The sequence below is a fragment of the Homo sapiens genome, chromosome 6 (genome assembly GCF_000001405.40).
Source record: "Homo sapiens chromosome 6, GRCh38.p14 Primary Assembly".
In the NCBI taxonomy this organism is placed as follows: Eukaryota; Metazoa; Chordata; class Mammalia; order Primates; family Hominidae; genus Homo; species Homo sapiens.
This window is the reverse complement of record NC_000006.12, coordinates 140559704-140586102: the sequence shown is the minus strand read 5'-3', so window position 1 is coordinate 140586102 and position 26399 is coordinate 140559704. Positions and strand designations below refer to the sequence as shown.

General features: G+C 34.0%; 1 long non-coding RNA gene across 5 annotated transcripts in view; it reads right to left on the bottom strand.

The window, feature by feature from the left end:
• LOC105378027 (uncharacterized) overlaps positions 1-26399 on the bottom strand; it is a 246946-nt gene that overhangs the window by 199333 nt on the left and 21214 nt on the right. For 4 of the 5 annotated variants that reach the window (XR_001744387.3, XR_001744385.2, XR_007059791.1 and 1 more), the window contains exon 2: positions 20442-20539. The exons of the other annotated variant lie outside the window; for it this stretch is intronic. This is a non-coding gene — a long non-coding RNA (uncharacterized LOC105378027). The remainder of the gene's footprint in view (positions 1-20441; positions 20540-26399) is intronic. 5 annotated transcript variants of the gene reach the window in all.

The window sequence follows — 26399 nt, the reverse complement described above, 5'->3', positions numbered from 1 at the left end:
AATGGCTGGAGTTCTCTCTGACAACTCTCCAGGCAGTTCTCCCTACTACATCAGAAATCCATGGAGATCATGGGGTCTCCCACAGTGAGGATCCCAGAGGTCCATGGTGAGAGTGGGCCACTTCACACCTATAAAACTTACCCCTTCCCTAGGAGCTGTTTGGGGCCAGGAGCAAGTCCTGGTGCTCAGCAACCCCATGCATTGTTCCAGCTTCCTCCTCTTTCAGCCCCAGGGTCTGTGTCCTTCCTCTGTCAACTCTCACTGCCTTCTTTCCAAAGAACTGTTCGAGTGTGCTGGTCTATTTGATGGTCTAGTCTCTCTTGGTGCAAGAAGCTCTTCCTGGTTGAATCTAGTTGGCCATCTTGGCTCTGCCTTCTCATCACTGTTTTGTAGTTTTCCTTGTAGAGGAGTTTTTACCTCTTTGGTTAAATTTATTCTTACATATTTTAAAATACATTTTAGCTATTTTAAATGAGATTGCCTTCTTGATGTCCTTCTCAGCTAGTTCATTATGGGTGTATAGAAACACTACTAATATATATATAAGATTATATCATCTGCAAAATGGGACAGTTGACTTCTTCCTTTCCAATTTTAATGCCTTGTATTTCTCTTTCTCCCTCTCTATTTTTTTGAGACATGATCTTGCTCTGCCACCCAGGCTGGAATGCAGTGGCACACTCTGAAATCTCTGCCTCCCAGGCTCAAGAGATCCTCGCACCTCAGCCTCTCTGGTAGCTGGGACTACAGGTGTGTACCACCATGCCCAGCTAATTTTTTTATTTTTTGTAGAGACAGGTTTTCGTCATGTTGCCCAGGCTGGTCTCGAACTCCTGAGCTCAAGTGATCCACCCACACTGACCTTCCAAAATGTTGGGATTACATGCATGTGCCACAATACCTGGTCTATTCATTTCTCTTGTCGGATTGCTCTGGCTAGAAATTCCAGAACTATGTTGAATAGGAGTAGTATAAGTGAGCCTCCTTGTCTTGTTCTGATTCATACAGGAAAGGCTTTCAGCTTTTCCCCATTCAGTTTGATGTTTGCTATGGGTATGTTATATATGGCTTTTATTATATTGAGATATGTTCCTTTAATCTAGTTTGTTGAGATTTTTTTATAATGAAAAAATGTTGAATTTTATCAAATGATTTTTCTGCATCTATTGAGATGGTCATATGGTTTTTTTCCCTTCATTTTGTTGATGTTATGTATCATGTTGATTGATTTATATATGTTGTACTACCTTGCATCCCTGGAATAAACCCCTCTTGATCATGGTACATTATCTTTTTATTGTGCTCTTGCATTCAGTTTGCTAGTATTTTGTGGAGAATTTTTGCTTCTACGTTCTCGGGGATATTAGCCTGTTGGTTTGTTTTTCTTTTTTTTTTTTTTAATTGCGTCTTTGACTGGTTTTGGTATTAGGATAATGTCTTCCTCATAGAATAAATTAGGAAGAATTCTCTCTTCTTCAGTTTTTTTAATAGTTGGAAATTTGGTGTTAGTTTTTGAAGTCTGATAGAATTTGGCAATGAAGCCATCCAGTCCCGTACTTTTCATTCATAAGAGATTTTTGAAATTAAAACTTTAATATCATTACTTATTATTGGTCTATTTAGGCTTTCTATTTCTTTCTGATTCAATATTGGCCGATTGAATATGTTCATTAATTTATCCACTTGGTTTAAGTTTTCCAGTTACTGTATAGTTGTTTATCTATTGTCTGATCATATTTTGTATTTCTGTGTTATTATTTGTAATGTCTCTTTTCATTTCTGAGTTTATTTCAATCTTATGTATTTTTTTCTTGGATAGTCTAGCTAGAAGTTTATTGATTTTGTTTATCTTTCCAAAATATCAACTTTTTTGTTTTATTAAGTCTTTGTATTTTTTTAGTCTCTGCTTCATTTAGTTTGGTTCTGAACTTCATTATTTCTGTTCTTCTACTAATTTTGTTTTTGGTTTGTTCTTCCTTTGGAGTTTATTGGGTTGCATCATAGATTATTTGGAATCTTTCTACTTTTTTGATGTTGGCATTTATTGCTATAAACTTTCCTGTTAGCACTGCTTTTGCTGTATCCCATAGGTTTGGGTATATTGTATTTTGATTTTCATTTGTTTCAAGAAAAATTTTTATTTCCTTTATAATCTCTTCCTTAACTCAGTGGTTATTCAGGAGCATTGTTGTTTAATTTCCATGTATTTGTTCATTTTCCCAAGTTCCTCTTGTTATTGATTTCTAATTTTATTTCATTGTGGTCTGAGAAGATACTTGATATATTTCAATTTTTAAAAATCCTTTGAAAATGTTCCATGTCCTGATGAGAAGAATGTGTATTCTGCAGCTGCTGGGTGACATGTGTACATGTCTGTTAGGTCCACTTAATCTAATGTTCAGTTAATTTTTTGTCTAGATAATGCATCTAATGCAGAAAGTGGGGTGCTGAAGTCCCCAAATGTTATTGTATTGGAGTCTCTCTCTCTCTTTAGATCTAATAATATTTGCTTTATTTATTTGGATGCTCCAGCATTAGACACATACATGTTTATAATTTTTATGACCTCTTGTTGAATTGATCCCTTTATCATTAGGCAATGTCTTTCATTGTCTCTTTTTACTGTTTTTGACTTAAAGTCTGTTTTATCTGATGTAAATACAGCTATTTCTCCTCACTTTCAGTTTCCATTTTCATATAATATCTTCTTCCCTTCCTATATTTTCAATCTATACATGTCCTTACAGTTGAAATAAGTTTTTGCAGGCAGCATATAGTTGGGTCATTTAAAAAATTCAATAAACTAGACTATATCTTTTATGTGGAAAATTTAAATTTTTTACATCCAAGATTATTATTGATATGTGAGTCCTTAGACCTGTCATTTTATTAATTTCTGATTGTTTTCTGTATCCTGTGTTCCTATCTTTCTCTTACTGCTTATCATTGTGGTATGGTAGTATTTTTGTAATGGTAATATTTGAGTCCTTTTTCTTCCTTATTTGTGTGTTTGCTCTACCAGTGAGTTTTATATTTTATCATAATGGTAGATACTATTCCTTCATTTCCAGGCTGGAGTAAGACTCCCTTAAACATTTCTTTCTTTTTTTGAAATCGAGTTTTGCTCTTGTTGCCCAGGCTGGAGTGCAGTGGTGTGATCTCGGCTCACCGCAACCTCCGCCTCCTGGGTTCAAGCAATTCTCCTGCTCAGCCTCCCCAGTAGCTGGGATTACAGGCATGCGCCACCAGGCCTGGTTAATTTTGTATTTTTAGTAGAGATGGGCTTTCCCCATGTTGGTCAGGCTGGTCTCGAGCTCTCGATGTCAGGTGATCTACCCGCCTCAGCCTCCCAAAATGCTGGGATTACAGGTGTGAGCCACCATGCCTGGCCCCCTTAAACATTTCTTGTAGCGCCAGTCTACTAGTGATGAAATACCTCAGCTTTTGGTTGTGTGGGAAATACTTTATTTCTCCTTCATTTATGAAGGATACCCTTGCTGGATGTAGTTTTGGCTAGCAGAGGTCAGCACTTTGAATATATCATCCCATTTTATCCTACCCTCTGAGGTTTCTTCCCAGAAATCTGCTGTTAGTCTGATGGGGTTCCCTTGTAATTGACTAGATGTTTCTCTCTTGCTGTTTTTCGAATTCTCTCCTTACATACACGGCAATCTCAAGGCTCAGGAAAGTTGTGTGTTGGGTGTGAGGTTTCATCTTCATGTGCCTGACATCACACCACTGCCAATGGACTCTGAAAACAGTCCACCTTGGCTTTATATATCCTGAGCAGAACTTAGATCACTGATCTTAAGCAATAAAGAATATTCTTTCTTCAAAGGAATGAGGACACAGTGCAAGTTGCTCTGAACACCTCATTCTTTCTTTCTTTTTTTTTTTTTCCCCAGTGGCCTGTAATGTTGTTTTTGCCATTTTTTAAAATTTATTATACTTTAAGTTCTGGGATACATGTGCACAACATGCAGGTTTGTTGCGTAGGTATACATGTGCCATGGTGGTTTGCTGCACCCATCAACCCATCATATAGGTTTTAAGCCCCTCATGCGTTAGGAATTTGTCCTAATGCTCTCCCTTCCCATCCCCCCAACCCCCCAACAGGCCCCAGTGTGTGATGCTCCCCTCCCTGTGTCCATGTGTTCTCATTGTTCAACTCCCTCTTATGAGTGAGAAAATGCAGTGTTTGGTTTTCTGTTCCTGTGAACACCTCATTCTTACCTCAGGATATTTCATTCTCAGCCCGTTCTGTGGTTTTTCTAAGAACTGCAAGAGGAAGAGGGAAGATCTGGGTTGGCCAGAGTCATTCAGAGGCCTGCCTTCCTACATATACCAATTATTTATTTTTTTCTTGAATGTCCATATTGAATAGGAGTGGCAAGATGACATACTGCCTTGTTCCTGATTTTAGAGGAAAAGTGTTCAGTGTCTCATTAAGTGTGATGTTGACAGTAGGTGTTTTTCATATAAACCTGTAGAAATTATCTTTGATGTTTGGGTTTTTTGAATTTTTTTTCATGAATAGTTGTTGAACTTTATAAAATACTTTTCCACATATTTAAAATATATCATCTTTTCTCTGGTTCTATGAGAAGTTATGATGATTGATTTACAAATGTTGAACCAGACTTCCTTACATTCCTGAATCCTGATGTATTATATTTTTATATTTTGCTGAAGTGAATCTGCTAATATGTTATAAAGAATTTTTGTATCTATGTTCATGAGAAATATTGGTCTGTAGTTTTGGTAATTTCTTAGATAAATTTGGTGATAAGGTAACACTGTTCTTTCAACTAAAAAGTGTTCTTTCCTCCATTATTTTCTGAAACATATTGTGTAAAATTGATATTATTTCTTCCATACATTATTTGGTTTAGTTCACTGGTAAAACCACTTGGGCCCTTTAACTTAAATTCTCTGATAATTTCAAAGAAAAGCATTTATTTTTAGTTTTTACCAGCCCATGTATGTTGCAAGGAAAAGAACAACGACTTCCAGTCCTTCAGTACTTTTATAGGTCAAAGATGAATCCATAAGCCTGTTTTTCTGTTTTGACCATTTAAATAGTTTTTGTTAATTTTCATGTTCATATATTCTTAGCCCATTCTTACAATATTTTTATATTCTTAGCAGATATGTTTATGGAGTATTTATGGTATACTAAAATTTGACTTGTTGTTTGTACCTTTAAGTAGCTATCCTTATCTATAGTACTATTTGTAATTATCTTCCATTTTATATTTAAGTATTTACAATAATTATATTATGTTATAATCTACATATAATAAAATTCCCTCAGTGTAGGTGTATAGTTATATGAATTTGGATAATTATATATAGACAGTAGATATGCCCTCCACCACAAGTAAGGTATAGAAAACTCCAATCATCCTAAACAATTCCTCTGATGCATTAGAGGTGATTCCTTTCTCTGGTTCTCTGACCTAGATAGCTACTTATAGGCTTTTTGTCACTAGAATTTTACCTTTTCTCTAAAGTCAAATAAATGGATCATTCAGACAAGTAGTCATTTGTGTTTGACTTCTTTCACTTAGCCTAATGTTCTTGACATTTATTCTTTTCTCTCATCATCCTTACCCAATTCATCAACAAATCTTATGGGCGCTACCCTCTAAAACTATTTATTATCTGTCTACTTCTCTTATAATTCATTTCCAGCAGCCTAGTCTTCCTGGAAAACTGTGTAGCTTTCTAACTGATATCTGTGTGTCAAATTTGATTCTGTTCAGTCATACATGTATTATTTATCTCTACTGAAGCCTAGGCTTCAATCCTCCATACAACAGCCAAATTATTTCTTTTTGGAGGTTAACAAGATTATGCTGATCTCCCTGCTTAAAACCCTTCATTCAGTTTCTAGATTACTTGGAATAAGACTGAAATAACTGATCTTATGGTTTCTATTGACTTCTCCAAACATGTGTCATACCATGTGCACTTAAATTCCAGCCGTTGTCAATCCACACTTTTGTCTCTCTAACACCAAGCTCTTTTATTATTCCCTCTGCCATTTGAATGGCTTATTCTTATCCCCATGTCTCAATTGTTCTTCTGCAGATAGTCTGTTTCTGGTTATCTTGAATAAAACAGCACTAGCCAGCCCTTTTAAATTTTACCACTGTATCTTATAATTCTTGTAAAGTACTATGGCAATCTATAAGTAATTTGTTCACTTACTGGTGTATATTTTTATTTTAGCACCTCTAAATACAATGTAAATTCTATATGAGCATGTTGGATCCCTAGTTGCTTGTAGACTGGTTCATAATAGACACTCCTGACAGCTAAAATAAACCCTAGTATTGATTCCCTCAAGTATCCCACTCTCATATTGAATATGGCTAACCTGTGTAGCTAAGAGAGAATTAGACTGTATTTTGGACAAAAATACATGATCTGACCACAATGGAATTAAATTAGAAATCAATACCAGAATGATCCCTGGAATATTTTCACATATTTAGAAACAAAATAACACATTTCTAAATAATGCATACATCAAAGAGATAATCAAAGGAGGAAGCAGAAAGCAATTTAAACTAAATGTAAATGAAAACAAAACACATCAAAAGCAGTAACAAAAAGAGGCAATTTATAGTACTGAAAGCTTAAATTAGAATACAAGGAAGGCACTAAACCCTATGCTTAATATTCAGCACTAACCTTAAGAAACTTGAAAAAGAAATTAAACCAAAAATAAGAAGAATAAAGAAACTAAATAGAGCAGAAATCAATTATATGGACAAGAGGAAAACAATGGAGAAAACGAATAAAACCAAAGATAGTTCTTTGAGAAGATCATTACAATTTATAACATCCCAGTCAGATGAATCAGGAAAAAATAGACGACTCAAATTATCCATGGCAAGAATAAGAGAAGTGGCATCACTACAGATTCTACAAATAGTAAAAAGTTAAAAGCAGACGATCCTGAACAATTTTATGTCAATAAATATAAAAATGTGAATTAAATGAGCAAATTTCTTAATAGAAACAACCATTAAAGCAATTTCAATAAGAAATAGATATTCTGAATATTTAATATCTACTAATTTAATTTGTAGTTTAACATGCTCAATACAACACCCAGTATTTGACAGTTTTACAAGCAAATTCAATCAGTTATTGAAAGAAAAATAATACCAATTCTAATTAAATTCTTCGGGAAATTTGAAGAGGAGGAAATACTTCTAGCCATATTCTGGTGCTAAAAGCAAGAAGTCATATTACAAGAAAAGAAAACTACAGACCAATATCCGCCATGAACATAGATGTAAATATTCTAAAGGCTAGCAAATTAAACTCAACAATAATATAAAGGATAATACATTGTGATCAAGTGGAGAAGAGTTGGTATAATAGTCAAAAAGCAATCATTAATTCCACATATTAACAAATTATTATAAAAACAAAACACATGACAATCTCAAAAAAGAAGAAAAAGCATGTTACAAGATCTAATATCAGCTCTTGTGAAAACTCTCAGGAAATTAGAGAAAGAATAGGAATCCCTCATCCTGATAAAGAGCAGTCATGAACAATGATTGTAAATGACTGAATGCTCTTACCCTAAGATCAGAAACAGAAAAACATGTCTGATTTCACTGTTTCTTTTCAAGATTGAACTTAAAGTTTTAGCCAGTACAATAAGACAAGACAAAAAAATAAAATTCATCCAGATTTTAAGAGAAGAAATAATCCTTATTTGCTGACTACATGTTTACCTATGTGTGTATATATGTATGTATATATACACACATATATGTACACACACATATACACACACACATATACATATATACATATATATATATATATATATACATACAGAAAGAGAGGAAAAAATGCAATGACACCTACCAAACTAAATAATAAGGAAGTTTAGCAAGGTTGCAGGACATAAAAAAGGACAATTTGAAAATGAAATATAAAAATGATACTACTAGATAGCATAAAATATTAAATAGGGGTATATCCTACATGCCACTGAAAACCTTAAATCATTGCTGTTAGAATTTAAAGGAGCATTGGCTAGAAGTCTCAATATTGTTAAGATGACTGTTCTTTCTAAATTGATTTTTGTATGTTTTAAGACATATAAAAGGCAATATTAATCAAAATCCCAGCAGAGTAAGGACTAAACTGTTAACTATTGATACAACATGATGACTCTCAAGATGATTAGAGTGTAAGGAGCCAGAGAAAAAAATACATACAGTATGATTCCATTTACATAAGATTCCAGAATATACAAGCTCATTGATAGTGACAAAAAGAAAATCAGTAATAACCTTGAAATAGAAGCGTATGAATAAGAACTAGTGAGAGGGTTACAAAGAGATTGGAGAAACTTTTAGAGGTTATGGAAACATATTCTTATTTGAGATGATGGTTTCATGGATGTACACATATGTCAAAACCTTTTCACATATACTTTTAAAGTATGTTCGGTATACTCTACATTAAATACATGATGAGTTGTTTAAAAATATCATTAAAAGTAAATATTCCTCTTTACCATTTTTCTCAAACAATATCTTCCCAAAGATAACCATAGTTAATTGTTTGAGTCATATTCTTTCACATATTTTAATGAATTTACATACATATTTTTGTATATGTTTATATTTTACATAAATTACATAATATTTCATATTACTTCACAACTTTAAGAAGAATTAATCACTGGAAAATAGAAGTAAATTTCCATAGCTGGAAATACTTTTGGAATCTTTGTATTATAAAATTTACTGTCAGGCACAATGTCTATAAACAAACCCACACTGAGATTATTCTTCCTGAATTTCAGAAGAATAAATATACAAAAGAGCGTAAAACCTTGGGAGGGCTTTGGGGTGAACAGGAAAAAAGGTTACTTATCCAGGAATGAAAATCAGATGGCTGTCAAGCTTCATTTGTAGTACTGGATGCTCAAAGACAATGAAGCAACAATTTTGAAGCCACATGGGATAAGTATTTTGAACATAAAATTATGAATTCATCCAAACAAGTTTCAAGTGTGTCCTCTTGCTTAGCACCTACCAAGTATCTGGTAACTTTAAAAAGAACATTCTTGGTAGTTGGTTAAAAGAGAAATCAATTTTCAAGTAAGGGTAGATGTATCATGAAGCCACTGAAGCGTCATCAAAGACCTTCACTGCGTGTAAGTTTCATGCCCCGCAAATCTGGATCCATGCCTGATTGCAGCAGGTTAACCAGTAGGAATCAAATTAGGGAAAAAATAAATTGAGACACCTTTTTCAAGAAGGAGAAAAAAGAGAGAGAGGATGGTGGCAGCAGAGGGCCACAGAGGCAAGACTTGTTTAGAAGAGGACTGCAGTAAATATGTTGATAGAAAATGTGGTACAAGGGAGTAAAATGGTGAAAATTTATGGAAAGTGGGAATAATTTATGGGGCAAGGTATCAGAGAGAAAAAAAAGGAGCTGGTTAAAAACTAAGACTGAGGAATCTGTCTTGAACAAACATGAATTTTTCCCCCTCCCCTTAGTACCATCACTCTGGAGGAAACACAGGAAAGACTGCCGACGTTCATTTCCTTGAGGGAGTAGAATTGAGGCTGGTCATGCCCTATGGCTTCATTTTACCTTATGGAATGGGAAGAATGGCATCTGCTAATATAGAGGCATTTTTCTAAAGGCAGATTCCGTGGTGCGTAATTTATTTGTAACATCTTCAGGAATGAACAATTGTGTTGGAGAATCAACATGGCACACATATTGTGATCAGTGCCGAAACAAATAATTCTCTAGACAGCCTATTTTAAAGTCTGTTGATTTTACAGATAAACAGACTGAGATGCTTCTTCACATGCTTGTCTTTCAGTTCCTCATCATTACAATCATAGCAGGAGGGGCCGCCTGAGAGTCAAAAGATTCCAGTTCTTCCCACTGTTTCTCTGGGCCTCAGCCTTTTCCTCCACATAATGCACATACCGGGCTAAGGTCACCCTTGTTTCCACAACATGTAATTGTCTTATTTTCTAATTTGTTTATTGTCTAAACAGAAAAATTGGAGTGTAGAAAAGGAAGACATAATTGTAAACTGAAATAATCAGAACATCTTCAGGAAGATACATGATTTAAGCTGAATTTTAAAGAATTAGTAAAATATTTATAATAAAATCCATTACAATTTATACTGTTTTTTAAGTTAAAATGATTTTTACTAAACATAACACTTTATTCTTCCTGTCATAGCTGTATAATATATTGTAATTGTTATTTTCATTATAAAGGAAGAAAAGAAATAGAAAAAAAAGACACTGCGCTTCAGAATACAGAGGTCTAGTTTATTGCATATATTCCATGTTCCAGTCATTGTAGCCGATGCTGGAGATTTCAACATAAATGAGGTGTGGCTCGTATTCTAAAGAAGCTCACTAATTAAGGCAACGTGAGGAAGAGGTTAGAAAATGAAGACAGTATAATACAGTACCTTAAAAGCCCATCAGAAATTGTAGATATCTTTCTTCTGTTACCCAGCTATTTCAACACAAATAAATCAAGATAAGAAAAAGATTCCTAATGTGCTCTTTGCATCACTATATTATAATGCTTCGTTATTTTATTAGGACAAATATGTATAACACCAAAAAGGTGATAATCTAAAACAAATTGAAGGGATATACTTACATCCTTAGCCAATTATAGTATATTTAATTAACTAGGAAGCTATATCTGAAGTTATTAAGCACAGTTTATGAAGAATCAATAAAAGCCAGTCACACATAATACTATGAAAAAAACTGAAAGATCATTTAGCTCATTATGAGGAATAATATCACAATAGAAATAGAACTGTGACCTCTTTCTTAAATAATTAAATGAAACTTCTTGTAACAAAGAAGTCATTTTGTAATTTAAATGACCATCTTCTAACTAACCCAAATTCTCATTTATATTACTTCTTTGTAGTCTACTTCTGTATTTTAAGCATGTATAATGTGTTGACTTTCATTAATTATGAATAGTTATCAATGTGTGTGCCTGTTTGTTCATACCTTATATAAGAATGTTAGAAATTGAGTTATTCCTCTACACAAATAATAATATACATAAAGTAATTATTTTAAAATAAATTCTAAATGATGAAAACACAATATATTGAACTATTTTTAAAGGCATACATATAAACCCTGGATCACATCGCTTTAATGGAAAAGTGTTCAGAAGCATAACACATATGCTGGTAAAGTTTCCTGGATAAAATTCAACTTATTCCCAGACCCAATAGAGTTTATTCAGTGCTAATTTATGTATACTTATAATTCCCATCTACGCAGTTTTGCAGTACGAGGCTTTGAGTAAATATTTCAACTGATGTCAGTATCATTAGTAGAAAAGTCTTATAACCATCTCAATCAAAAAAGCAAGTGTGCATGATACAAAACTTTCTTTAATATTATATGATCTAATGTAATTTATTTTATAAATTTCATTCTAGAGTATTAGAAACTTTTGTCAGTCAATTAAAGAGTTCTCTGTCTTTACTGAGGGTTTTTTATGAAAATAGAAAGTACAAGGAATGGTCAGGGAGATACATGGCAGAAGATCCTTATCTGTTCACGTTGTTACCATTTGCATCATACATTCTATCATTTGATGCTGGTGGTTAGTTTGTGAAATATTCTTATTTTTAACCCCCAAAGCCTTTCCAATGTGTCTGAATTTCTCCTGTTCTCAGGTGTTTGGAAACATTTGTTGCTATCCAAAGTGCTAATAAATGAAAAACACAGTTTAGATCCTTAAATCAGGATTTTACTTTAGTCAATCAAGAGGTGATTAAGTGCTTCAATGTGTGTTATATCCTCACCTTCCAGTTCCTCCTGACCTGAGTAAGCAAAGCAAAGGAATCCATTAGGGGAAGAGATGGGAGTAAAATTTGGCAGAATGATTTAAACTGATATTATTCCTAGAAATCAATCAATTATTGTTGTGGTCAAATTAAACATACCCAGTCTGAGCTATGATCTCTTAATTGAATGTTTTAAATATTTTGAATGATGTCCATTTCCCATTATCATCTGGAGTTCCAGCAGAAGGTCTAAGCAGTCTGAAGTAGCACATGTATGCTCACAAGGCACTTAGGGGGATATGAAGATATGGATTACGTTCTTTGCACCTTGCGAATCTGGATGTCCCTAGAACTTAAAGGTCTGGAAAAGCCTTATCTGGAACTTAAATCTATTAGAACTAAGGCATTTCTGCTGCTCCTTAACTAGCCCAGAGCAGCAATTCATTTCACTTTCCATGACTCTCAGCACTGCTCCTTAAGATAGCCAATGAACAAATAAAGCATCACTTATAATGGAGCTGGTAATAGGGTTCACTTCATATCAGAGAGGAAATCAAAACTGCAATGATAAACCATCTAGAAAGTAATAAAAATGAGAACCAATTTTGAATTGGGTATCCGGAAACTGGGCTGGAGTCCTGAGCAAGGGAGACCCCTCAAAGACTGTTTGCAAATTGGAGCATCTCTCGAGGCTATAGCTATAGCCTGCCAAAATAGAACTCTAGAGCCTAGGGTCTCCCTCAAATGAAAAGAACAGACAAGTGGAAAGAAAAGTAGAAGAGCAGACAGGAGGGGACAGTATTGAGAACCAAATTTCCCACTGGGACCCGTCTCTAAGGCAGTATGGCTGATGGTTCGTTAAGAAAAAACTATGAAGGAAATGTGAGAGTCTGGGAAGGGAGAGACCGGCACCAATTGCTGCAGTACAGGGACTTTCATTCACACTGAAAAATCCATCCAAATAGGCTTCTAAACGGGCCTTTTCCCTGCTACAAATGAAACAAATCTAGAGAAATCTATAATTTCCAGCACTGCCCTGACTTATACATGTCTTACACCCCAGAGGCATGACTACCATTTGAGTTAGAGGACTTACTTATACTCCAGTTACTCTTTTGCCTGTGAGTTTCAGTCTGCATCAAGTGACACTGGTGTTCACCATGTCTTAGCACATCCATTACCTAAAATTAATGTGTGTTCTCTGAGTGTGCATTCTAGTCATTTGGGAAATTGTTATAACATGTATGACTGCCACACTGATTACATAACTCAGGAGATTCTCAGTCATGTATATTAATTTTGAGAATATACCCTGGGAATTCTGATAGGATGCCCCTACTCTCACCTCTAGGCACAGCCCCACCAGAATAACCATGTAAATCAGCATAATAATGACTGGAAACGCTCACAGGCCTGCAACTGACTTCTTGCTCCTCTAGTTATCACTAGTTATAAGCTATGTATTTTCTGGAACGTTACTTAACTTTTAAATCTCGAGCTCCTCCAGTTATATCCACACTTGGCACTAGTTCATCATGTTAGGTGATCAGATCAGCATGTTAACTAACTGCACAGGTTTTAGTGTGGAAAACAGTAGGTTCCGAGAAGTCAGATAAGACAAGAGGTCCCTGGTTATTTGAAAGGAAGAAATTGGAAGACAAAAAGGAGAGAGGAGACAGCATCAAAGCAGAATTTGCTACTTTATAATTTGGCCTAGAATTAGCCCTTAGAAAAACTGGTGGCTTAGACCACTTAACGGCACTATCAGGCTCTAACCCTATTTCCTAAATATAATACTTCCAGCTCACCTAAATAAATGGAGTTTCGTGACGAGTGCACAGGAAAAGATGACTCAGAAAACTGGTTAAGATTGCCCTTCTCTTTGCTGTTTCCTGTTTTCCTTACAATTGATGTATTTTTGGCAAAGAGTCTTGTTGTAAATTGTCTTGGGCAGTGGTTGCATGATACTGTATTAAGTTGCTAAAAAGAGAATTCTGAGTTAGTGAATGACTAAGCAGTGCTTTCATCCTGAATAATGATAGACCTGCTAGACAGTTGTAACTGGATTTTCCATTTCTTTCCTGACAGCAGCATTGGGCTAAGGGGTTGGAAGTCCTTTAAATAGACAGATGCATAAACCATAAATGCTTTAGTCTTGCTTATTTTCTTTCCAGTGCTAATCTCTACACAACGGTACCATCTCTGGTCAGCTAATTGTTTTTATAGAAAACCTTAGCAGTAGAATTTTTTAGTATTGAATTTTATCTACTTTCTTTTTCATCTTTTTCTTTTCCAAAATGTAAAGATTTTGGTTATGAACAATAAGGGATATATCTAACTTGCTGTTTTGAAACTTTGCTCTATTTAAGATGAGTAGCTTTCTCAAAAGAGAAACACACTGTGTCTCAGTTTGAAATGTAATATTATCATTGACAAGAAAGACTTCAAAATGAGTTCACATCACATAGCAAAGTGAATTTTAAGACAACAGAAAATCTCTTTGCTTCTCTCACGTAAAATAAGTGCTTCTATCTATTGATCTGAGATCTAAAGTGCCCGTTGCCATTCTACCCAAGTACCAAGAAAATACATTTGCAGTAAGTCTAAGAGCTTAATAAAAATGTGTGATTATTATAGTGTAAAATTTCTTCACTCTGTATTACTATTTTGTCTATGTGAATCTTACCTGCTTATAAATTTATATTTGCTAATTAAACTAAATATATCAATAAAAGATATTTTTTCCACAATATTCTTGTGTGTTTCTATTAACAGCTTAAAATGTTTTAAGGATATTTCATCAAGTTCTGCATGCTTGAGGAAAGTATTTTCAGAATTTGTCATAGAGGACTGAATGACAACTCAAAGACAAATGGAGTTTTACTACATAGAGTTAAATCAAATTAGTGACTTTCAGATTGGTGTGGGCTGAGTGGAATTTGAAATATGAAGTTAAAAATCTATAATTAATTACCTTTCTTTTCAAGATATATTTTATTAGTTTCCAAAAATGGCAGTATGGTATTTCAAATACCTCTTTGAACCACAGTAAAATATTCTATAATACATTCTTCACCAAAGTTGATGGCCTCAGTTGTGGCAGCATTTTATGTCTTATTGATACTAATTGAAGATGATGTTTATTTATGATAATATTGTTTGTTTAGTGCTTATTTCTGACACTTTATCAATTTTTTCTACCATCTATATAAAATTTCCAAGTTGGAAAATAAAGAAAGACTAAAATCTCATATGTAATTTGGTCTTCTTGAGTTTCTGTTAATGGGGTTAATTTTGAACGTTGGAGAGCTTGTTTTCTTTGAAAGAAAGTCAATTCAAATCAACTAAATTATTTTTTCACAAAAGTTTAAACACAAAACACGACAAAACAAACTAATAAACACAATCTCTCCATATATTGATTCTTAAGTAGTAAGATTTTGACCTTGTTTAAAATCTCAGGTCTGATAGTAACTAAAGTGTGTTAACTTTGAAAAGTAATTTGATCCTTTTTGAGCTTCCATTTCCTCATCTGTAAAATAGATGCAATAATTTTATCTACATTTAGGATAAGTGTGAATATTAATTGTGAAGTCAAATATGTGACAGAGACTATGGTTTTATCAAACCCATTCCCCTTTCCTCTGAGTAAGAGATAGACCCACGTAAATATAGTCGTCTGATCTTTGACAAAGCAATAAAGGAAATACAATGGAAAAAACAGTCTTTTCAACAAATGATACTCGAACAATTGAACATCCACATGCAAAAATGAATGTAGACACAGACCTTACACCCTTCACAAAAATTAACTCGAAAGACAGCATACACCTAAATGTGAAATGCATTGTTATAAAATTCCTAGAAGATATATAGGAGAAACCCTAGATGACCTTGGGCACCATAACAACTTTTTGGAACACCAAAGCCATGATCCACAAAACAAATTATTGATAAGCTGGACTTCATTAAAAGAGGTCAAAAACTTCTTCTCCGCAAAAGACAATGTTAAAAGAATGAGAGGACAAATCACAGACTGAGAAAAATATTCACAAAAGACACATCTGATAAAGGACTGTTACCCCAAATACACAAAATACCCTTAAAACTCAACAATAACAAAATGAACAACTCAATTAAAAAATGGGCTAAAGAACAGACATCTCACCAAACAAGATATACAGATGGTAAGTAAGGATAAGAAAAGATTTAAACCGCATTATCACTAGAGAATTGCAAATTAAATAACAGTAAGATACACTCTATACTTACTAGAATAGCTAAAATTCAAAATGCTGACAACATCTTTACTCTGTACATGTGGGCTTCTTTTCCCAGCCACCTTTGCAGTACTGTGGTCAGCAATGTGTAAGTGCAGGTGATTATGCCTCTCTCAGTACTGGACTTTAATATTCTCTTGAATAGTCCACTAATATCACTCTTTTTTCATCTGCTGAATGAAAAAGACATTTAGGACCTAAATGACAGAAAGCCCTCAGATAGAATTCGCCTGGGTTCCTGAATGACCTTGTGGGAAACCATATACTGAATAGGAGCATCAACATTAGACTTTGTGTAAAGAAGATATAAACTTTTATTTGAAAGCCAATGAACTCTGGAGATTTGTTTAGCACTGCCAATAACTGCTAGCATTGCTAACTTTTACTTATATAGAATATAAGCTCCCAATTAGACTGTGAGCTCCATGAAAGCAGCAATTTCTTCCATCCGTTGTTTTCACTATCCTGTGACTGAGCACAGTGCCTAGCACATAGTAAGGTATTTAAAATATGAATAAAAATATAAACAATTGAAGAAATACAAAGTGGCCTGGATATATGCATTATAAATTACACCTACTTTAGTTATGTTATTTTATCATGTAGACAATATTTATAATTGAATAATTCATTTTCCTTCAGTTTTCACCATTTTTCTTATTTAGGCTCTTATTCTTCTTGAAGGTAATTACAGCTTCTATCTCGCAGATCTTCTGGTCTCTTGCTCCCACCCATAGAGAATTCAATTGTATTTTTTTGTGGAACATGGCTATTTTGTCAAGGTGAGATTATATTCTAAGACTGTTAATTTTAATGAATTAAATTTTCAAATGAATTATCATTCAAACCAGTTAGCATTTATAAAGTTCTTAGGACCACCCCTGGCATATAAGAAGTGTGATATGGTTTGGCTGTGTGTCCCTACCCAAATCTCATCTCAATTGCAATCCCCACGTGTCAGGGGAGGTGCCTGGTGGGAGGTGACTGGAACATGAGAGTGGGCTTCCCTCTTGCTATTCTCATGACAGTGAGTGAGTTCTCACGGGATCCGGTTGTTTGAAAGTATGTAGCACTTCCCCCTTCATTCCCTCTCTCTCATGCTCCACCATGGTAAGAAATACTTGCTTCCCCTTCACCTTCCTCCATGATTGTAAGTTTCCTGAGGCATACCAGTCATGCTTTCTGTAAAGCCTGCAGAACTGCAAGTCAATTAAACCTCTTTTCTTCACAAATTACCCATCCTCAGGTAGTTCGTTATAGCAATGTGAAAACAGACTAATACAGAACATTGGTACCACGAGAGTGGGGCACTGCTATGAAGATATCTGAAAATGTGGAAGCAATTTTGGAACTGGGTAAGGGGCAGAGGTTGGAACAGCTGGGAGACTTAGAAGAAGACAGGAAGATATAGAAAAGTTTAGAACTTCCTAGAGATTTGTTGAATGGTTTTGACCAAAATGCTGATAGTGATATGGACAACGAAATGCAGACTGAGGTGGTCTCAGATGGAGATGAAGAACTTATTGGAAACTCTTACTATGCTTTAGCAGAGATTGGTGGCATTTTGACCCTGCCCTAGAGATCTGTGGAACTTTGAACTTGAAAGATGATTCAGGGTATATGGCAGAAAAAATTTCTAAGCAGCAAAGCATTCAAGAGGTGACCTGGATTATTCTGACAGTGTTCAGTTTTATGCATTCAAAAAGACATCGTTTGAAAGTTACTACTACATGATTGTTTATAATGTGATATGTATGATATTACATATGTTATATATGTATACATATGATATAGATTGATGATAATACATATTTTATGTATATATATATTTGGCTTTGTGTATATGTGTTAATCTATAATGGTACACACATAATTTTAAAACTAACACATATGGACTAAAAAGTCCCTACTTTAATAGCTAACACAAAATGTGCCCAATAATGCCCTCAAATAGACTCAGAAGGCATTGATTTGGTCAAATGTATTTCCATCCTGGCACCTGCCGTCTAATTAAGCAACTAGTTCTATTAAAATTCAGACTCCCAATTTATTCCTCAGTCCAGGCTTCTTATGTCTGATGTTGCTATTCCATTTACTGAATGAACTTACCTGCTCTGACATAGATCAAAACAAATCCATATATCTATTATGCATGTGAATATTAGAAAGCAAATACTATGATAATGATATTGATGTTACTCATTATGAAACACATGTTATACAGAGAGACAGCTCCATTTTCATTTCCAGCAAATACAGAAGGGAAGGTAAAATGATGTCATCAACACGAAGATTCTTAGCCAGGGTTTCCACAGGGTGGGGATGGAGGTCCTGAAACAAGAGAGAACTCCTACACAATAGACACAGTATCTCTGAGCTAAATGCCTAGTGTAGCTTCTGACTTAACACAGTTTTGTCCGTCCCTCACCCACAAGAGAATATTGTGGGATGGGTATTTTGGAGGAGAAAAACCTCAGCATTTCTTCTACCCATGATGATTTTTCAAGGATACTCATCAACTTTACCTTCTTATGGGAGGAAAGGAGGATCATAAAAGTAGTGAAGAGGAGCGTTTATGTGTACTTTAAATTCACCCAGAAAGATTTGGCTCTGCAGCCAGCCACAAAGAAATTTCCTATTTATTTAAGGTTAAGCTTAAAGAGAAGAAATTAAGAGGTTTTTCTTACTCTAACATATTTGTGTCGTATTATAGTATAGCAACTAGACTTTATCAGTGCCAAACATCACTAAACTGTTGTGACATCACTATTAAGATTGGTCAATTTTATGTCCTGGGGACCTAAAACTTAGACTTCAATAACACTGGCCAAGCAGAGCTAAGGGGTAAAGGAAGTTTGCTGTCATGCAGAAAAAGCACAAATTGCTGAAGTTTGCTGTGACTAGAGAGACAAAATGGAATCATTCTCAGAGATTCAGCAAATCATGGACATTAGATCTATGTCCTGAGGCCAGGTTAAGAGAAAGTGTTTTAACAGAAGCATTCAAAAATATGTAAACTGCAATACCTTTTATTTTTAATTCCCTATTGTTCTCTATGTGTTTGAAAGCTGGACTTGGATTCAGAGAGTGTTATTTATAGCCATGAGTCATCAGGGCCCTGAAACTGTTAACACTTATCCAACAGTGAGGAAGGCACCAGGGAGAATCTGATTTCCAAAAAATAATGACTTATTCTAAAATTCTTTTATAAATATCTTAACAAATAACATGTTATAATAAGTGACATCCTCTTTATTCTTTCTCACCCCCACACACACATTTACATGTCAACTGGATAAAATAATAGTAATGCAATTTTTATCCATTTCTTGTCTTAATATTTACCAGAACATCTAGATGTCATAAATGGCCAACATGAATGTCTATCTGCTTATGAGGCTCCATTAAAGTTGAGTACTAGAAATACAAAGGAGGTCACAACATTTAGCAATACAGCTTCTAGCAGAAAAGAAACAGAGTGATTGAAGGGCATATTCTGTTTTGCTTATGAAGTAATATGATATACTTTACTCCTACCTGATTCTCTTTTCTCTAAATTACATGCTCTTATTTACACCCACCCACATGAACTCTCTACTTAGAAACTATTCTAATGTTACTAAGTTAATATCTTAACTTTTCCTTAGTCTATAAAATGCCATTTCATAATATTTAAGATAACTAAATTAATCCTGATGTGACATGCTGATTAGTTATTTAAAGCCACAGAAAAAAATAAAAGCATAAATAGTAAGGTAATATTAATTATTAATAAAAAATGAGTCCTAATGAACTTCAAGTTTGTATCAGATTATTTTTGATAGCAGGATTACAAGTAGAGTATCAATTATTAAAAACCTATTTGTGTAAGAGTTAGGTATTCAAAAAAGTAACAAAATACATTCATTATTGGGTGGTTATTTACTATTATGTCAATCTGCTTTGTAAAGGGCTGATATGACAATAGCCTTGCTCGTGGCATTTCTCTACTATTAATGATGGACTCATATGGCACAGGTAGGCTGCTATTTCCTCATTCCCAACACTAACAGGATATAGGATATAACAGAACACAGAACAACAGAAATAAAAACTAAGATCCTAGGCAAATGTTTCCATGAAGGTAAAGAATAAAATAAAATTGAAAATATCACTCAATTTTTTTTTCAGTTACAGGAGATAAGTGCTTGCAAGTAATTGCAAAATAAAGAAAACAATATAATGTAACAAATATCACTTGTTGCATTTGCTACCAGAAAGCACAATGAAAAAATGGGATTTTAATTAGAATCAGCTCACTGTATACTCACCACATATACCTTCTCAACTTCATTCACAGATGTTCATTCACTGCATTCAGCTCTTTTTGCTTTTCTATAATTTTTTCTTTTTCATGGCATTTTAATCTCTATATCAACAACAAAAAAATTTTTAAAGTGGTCAGGATACAAATAAGATAAGTGAGCATATTCATTAACAAGAGCATCAATAAATACTTGTTATGTATTGAATGCAGTAATGACAATAAAATAACAAATATTAACTGAGAGTATATTACATGCCAGACATTGTTCTATAATACTTATACACATTAACTCATCAATCCTTACAAAAATCCTATGTAATAGATACAGTTTTTGCTCCTGTTTTACAGATGAGGTAAGAGAGCAATTCACCAAGCTAATAGATATTGAGACCAGGATTTTTGTACAGTCTGACCCCAGGCCCAGCTTTCTTAATCCCTCTGCTATGCTGCCTCCTGATTTCAAAGGGGATTTATTTATAAGCTGATTGTATTTTTACATATACAACAAAATTAAAACTTGTTTTCTTTTTTTACGTTATCTATATAGGTGTATTAAAACATTCATGAATTTTGAGGAAATTATGCTAAGTGAAATAAGCCAGACACAGAAATGCAAATACTGCATGATTCCATTTATATGAAGTATCTAAAATAGTCAAACTCAATGAAGGAGAAAGTAGAATTGTGGTTGCTATGGGCCAGGGGAGGGGAAATCAGGAGTTGCTTTTCAAAGGGTATAAAGTTTCAGTCAAGCAAAATAAAAATGTTATAGAAATCAGCTGTGCAATATTGTGTTTATAGTTAACAATACTGTACTGTATGTATAAAAATTTGTAAAGTGAGTAGATCTCATATGCTTAACACAATAAAAATATTTAAAAAATAATAGGAAAAAAAAAAGCAGTCCAATAAATTGACTAAATTAAGGACAAATACCTTTTTCTTGAGCCTGGTATCTTTTAATTTGCTAAATATCTTTAAGAATCCAATGTAAGGTTTTATTTTGTTTTTAAATGAATGAACAAAAAGAGAAACAACCTGGAAATGAAGCATTATGACATGGAAGAAAATTGATACACATATTTTGTTTTTGTAAATGTCTTAAGTATTGTATAACTTTTGCTCATTTGGGGTACCTAGGTTTTGTTAGTTCAAAATTGAACAAAACAACTAATTTACTAACTAAAACATAACAAAGTTATCAATGCCACCTTTAAATATTTGGATCAGCTACAGAGCATATAGACTCATCCACTTCTGAGAATAGAAAATTGGCATGCCCTCTAGCACCTTCCCAGGTAGTCCTTGGAATTGTCATACCTGGAATCAGAGAGCTCTATTGCATTATCAGTAAGTCAACTCACAACCACAGGATGAGTGGAATTAGTTAGTATGACAGGATTAAGGAAGATAATTAAAGGAAATGCAAAATCAATACAATATGTACAATGTTATATGGAAAAGGTCCGTATGGAACAACTAAGAACCAGTGGAACAGAACATCAACAAACAGGGTGTTGGGCAAAGGAATCAACAGAGAAAACAACCTAGAAACAAAGGTGGAGGTATCAGAATTGTAAACATTATATATCTGATTACAAAAATTCATTTCAGATAGCAAGCATAAACTATTGCTTAATCCCATTGATAGAGTCAACCTTTAACTGTAAGGTCAGAAAGATTTTGACTGTGATTCTCATCATTATTTTGCAGCCCTCATTTGAATATTCAGATGAGTGAGTCACACACACTATGCTGCACAAACCTTCATCAGTTCATTTCTTGTCCATGTTTAAGGCTAATGTATTAGTATCTAAAGAGACCATGTTGAACAATGTGGCAAAAAGTTCTTGTTACAGGTTATTAATAAGTCCCCTTTTAACTCTACCTAAAGGCATAAACACAATATTAATGCTAAGAAAATGATAATGTGATATGATGTATCACTAATATGATAGAAAATTATATTGTAAATTTTTTATATTATCATTAATAGGATTTAATATAATGAGATTTTCATGGAAGACTAAGCAGTGTCCATAATGCCTCTGGGTAAGAGCAGTGTGGTATTTCATGCTTATAAATAACATTGTAGATACATCGCACATGATTCCTGCATAGGAAAGTTTTAGCCTAAAAAGGAATATTTGTTACCTCGTATTACCATTATCAGAAAATATTGAAGGTGCAGGATATTTAGAGGTTTATATATTTCCATTAGGAGTGTTATTAAGCTGTGCTTCAAATTCAAAATCCTCTGTATGTTTGGAGTAGAAACATGTACTATTATCTCACATTTACCTGTGTACAATTTATGAATACATTTACATGTATTTCACAATTGATGCTTTTTGAAATTTTGAATATTGACTCAATTGGTGAATGCCTTTGAATATGATAATAAGCCAAATTGACTTTAGAGGTAAACTTAAAGTATATAATTAACTTAATAAAATAGTCTTAAAAACGAATAGATAATTTACACTAAGAAACATTAGGTCAGGTACAGTGGCTCATGCCTGTAATCCCAGCACTTTGGGAGGGCAAGGTAGGTGGATCTTCTGATCCACCTGCTAGTTCGAGACTAGTTCGAACTAGTCTGAACCACCAGGCTAGTTCGAGACTAGCCTGGCCAACATGGTGAAACCCTGTCTCTAGTAAAAATACAAAAATTAGACGGGTGTGGTGGCACACGCCTGTAATCCCAGCTCCTCAGGGGGCTGAAGCAGGAAAATTGTTTGAATCCGGGAGGTAGAGGTTGCAGTGAGAGATTGTGCCACAGCACTGCAGCCTGGGTAAAAAAGCGAGACTCCATCTCAAAAAAAAAGAAAGAAAGAAAGAAGAAAAGAAAGAAAGAAAGAAAGAAAGAAAGAAAGAAAGAAAGAAAGAAAGAAAGAAAGAAAGAAAGAAAGAAAGAAAGAAAGAAAGATTATACATGAATGTATTTCATATATTTAATTGATAATTAAATGAATTTATTTAATGATGAATTGACACATTCTCTTTAAAGGTAGCTTGATAACGTTTCTTCTTTCAAAGATTATTTTTACTTTATTTCTTTTAAGTCTAGTGATGGCTCTTAGTTTTCCCCTCAATGAAACCACAGGATTTTCCAAGTTACACCTTTATTTTATGTGCAGTCTTTCATTGTCTTCTTCAAAGACAGCAATATATGTAACCAAATAAAAATCCATTAGTTAGTTTTTAGGACAAGTGACATGACTGCTCCTCTGCACTGTCCATTTAGTTGGAGCTGCAGATATACCACAAAACCTCAAAGGAACATAATCCAAGCTTTTAATTTATAAAAAAAGTAGTCTATGTAAATATAGGTTTTGCAGATTCTGAGAGGCCTCTGACAACTTTTCGCAATCATCTTGATTAAGTTATCAAACCCACTGGACTTTCTTAGGAGCACCAGTACATTTCTTCTGGACCTCTTGAGTTCCCTTCTGATTCCTGAATCCTGTCAGGATTGCTTGGTGTACCCAGTTAAAACCTGCTGTGATTGCTACATGGAAAAATAGCCTGGATTTTATGACACCTGTGAAGCATCATACTACTTTCTGCAATTAGTACAGCTGTTGAATTAACTGAAGAATCAATAGAATAACTCATGTGGACTGCTCTGAATTAAAATTTTGTCTCTCACAGGGGTTCTTCTCTACCAGTGGTGCCTGATTATTTAGTATTGAAGAAGTCACTGTGTTTCACAACAGTTTCATATCCTCAAGGGCAAATATAACTGTGGAATGGTAGAGTTGGGAATAAAAGTGAAATGTACTAACATGTGATTCTCTTCGGTAAGGGCATGCAGAGGCTACCAGTGTTTGAAACACAGAAGTCCCTTTTATTAACCTCTGCTCCAGCTTTTCCCTACAGTCAGACAGCTGTAGACAATTGGAATTTTTGATCCTTAAGAAGAAAGACAGAGAATGTGATTATATATCTGTTTTTATCGATCATTGAGAAATACGGCTCCCTACCCCAGATCCACTCTTCCATTTAAGAATCATAGAGTAAACCTGTACAACTTCGTATTTATATGTAATTTAACCCTAACCTGGAGAGGTTAGCCAGTGAGTGCTTAATCCGACAAGGAGTAATATGTTACATGGCAATGGTTATATAGGAAAAAATAATCACACAGAGATATCAGAGATCAATTTGATAGCCACTTTACCAATTAAAATTTAAATTCGTGAATTCCACTGAAAATCCAAAAGGTATTCCAAGTTTGTCATAAAATTGTTTTACCATCAAAAATTTTGTCATTTTGTTAGCACCAACTAATAATGACAATATGAATAATAGGTAAATAATAATGATGATAAATACTAACATTTCTTGAGGAATTAATATAAGGGAGGTACCATGCTAAGCACTGTACCTGCATTATCACATCTCAACTTCTTTTTAACCCATTTTAACTCCTTTTCTGACATGAGAAGATCAAGTCCTAGCGATACAGGTGGATCAAGACTAAGGTGGTATTTGAAGCCAGATGACCTTACTCTAAAATCCTGGACTTTTAACCATTGTACCACACTGTTTCCCAGTTATTTTCTTATACCCATTATATAATTGATCCAGTTATATACATAAAACTTTTTAAATTGTATTTTTTTGTTATTTTCTTTTTCTTCTTTTAAAAACAAACAAACAAGCAAACAAAAAAAGAGAGAATGGGAACTCTTGAGTTGCTTGGCATGGCATGGCATCTTAGCCCTGCTATACAAAAGGACCGTTTACAGTCACAAAATGTGTGGCCTTTCCAGAATTTCTTCCAAGACAAGGGAGTAATTGACAAAATTCCTGTAAATCTTTTGCTCACTGTAATTTATGACCATTTATCTTCTTTGATGTCCATAGCTCCCTTATATCAAGAATATCAGGCCCCAGAACCTTGCATATTTCCATCTCCAATGTCACAAACATTCACTGGAAAATTTCCTCTAAGATCCATTATTTTTAAAATGTTTTTGAGTTTACATTAACTGCCAAGGCAAAGGGGAAATTATTCTACTATTCCTATATTTGAATATTTTAAGAAATTATTTAAAGAAAGGTATATTTTGTTTCTCCAAATCTTTGGCAACCTTATAAATTGACTCTTGGTGAGTTTAATACACAAAAGCCTCATTTATATTACCTTTCTCAGGCTTGAAATATCCACAATTTTTATGAGAAAAGAGATTAAGATTTGAGGGAAAAAGAGATTATATAATTCCCCACAGGAATTTTCCAGATGGCAAGACATATCACAAGAAAATTCTTTTTTAATATGTATGCCTTCATGCTGTTTCTTAAGTAAATAAAGTAATATTTTTGATAACTGAAAAAAAAAATGGTTTTACCCTTTATGTCTGTCTACATTTGGCTACACTGGGTAGTGGCAGAAGCCAGGAAGCTGAGGTCCTTGGCGAAATTGGCCTACTTCATATCTTGCCTGAGCCATGAACCTGAGTCTGACCCTAGCCTCCTCCATTCTACTAACCCTTCACTTTTTCTGAACTATCCTCATGTTTCTTACACTCCTTACTTTCAAATTCCTAGTAACGAATACATTCTCACCTCTTTCCTTTCCCATAAATTACTCTTTCATGTGATTTTAAGTTAACTTTCCTTTTTCTATTTTTTATTGTTAATTTTTTTCTGGAGAAAGTGTTTCTTCTCTGTATCAAAAGAATATTTAAACATCAGCAAGTAAGCTGTGAATGAGTATTCCATATAAGCAGATACCCATATTTGCTTTCTGATAAGTCAAGTCACACATACTCAAAAACACTTACTGAAAAAATTAAGTGATTTTTAAATGAAATGAAAAATGCAGTTTGGGGTGCTAGAAAGGTAGTTCTAAGACTTACTGGTCCATTTAAAAATCCTGAAGAAATGGAATTTGAACTTGATTTTACAATTGGTTAAAAGGAATGGCTCAGCTTTTATTTTTTTGAAAACATTC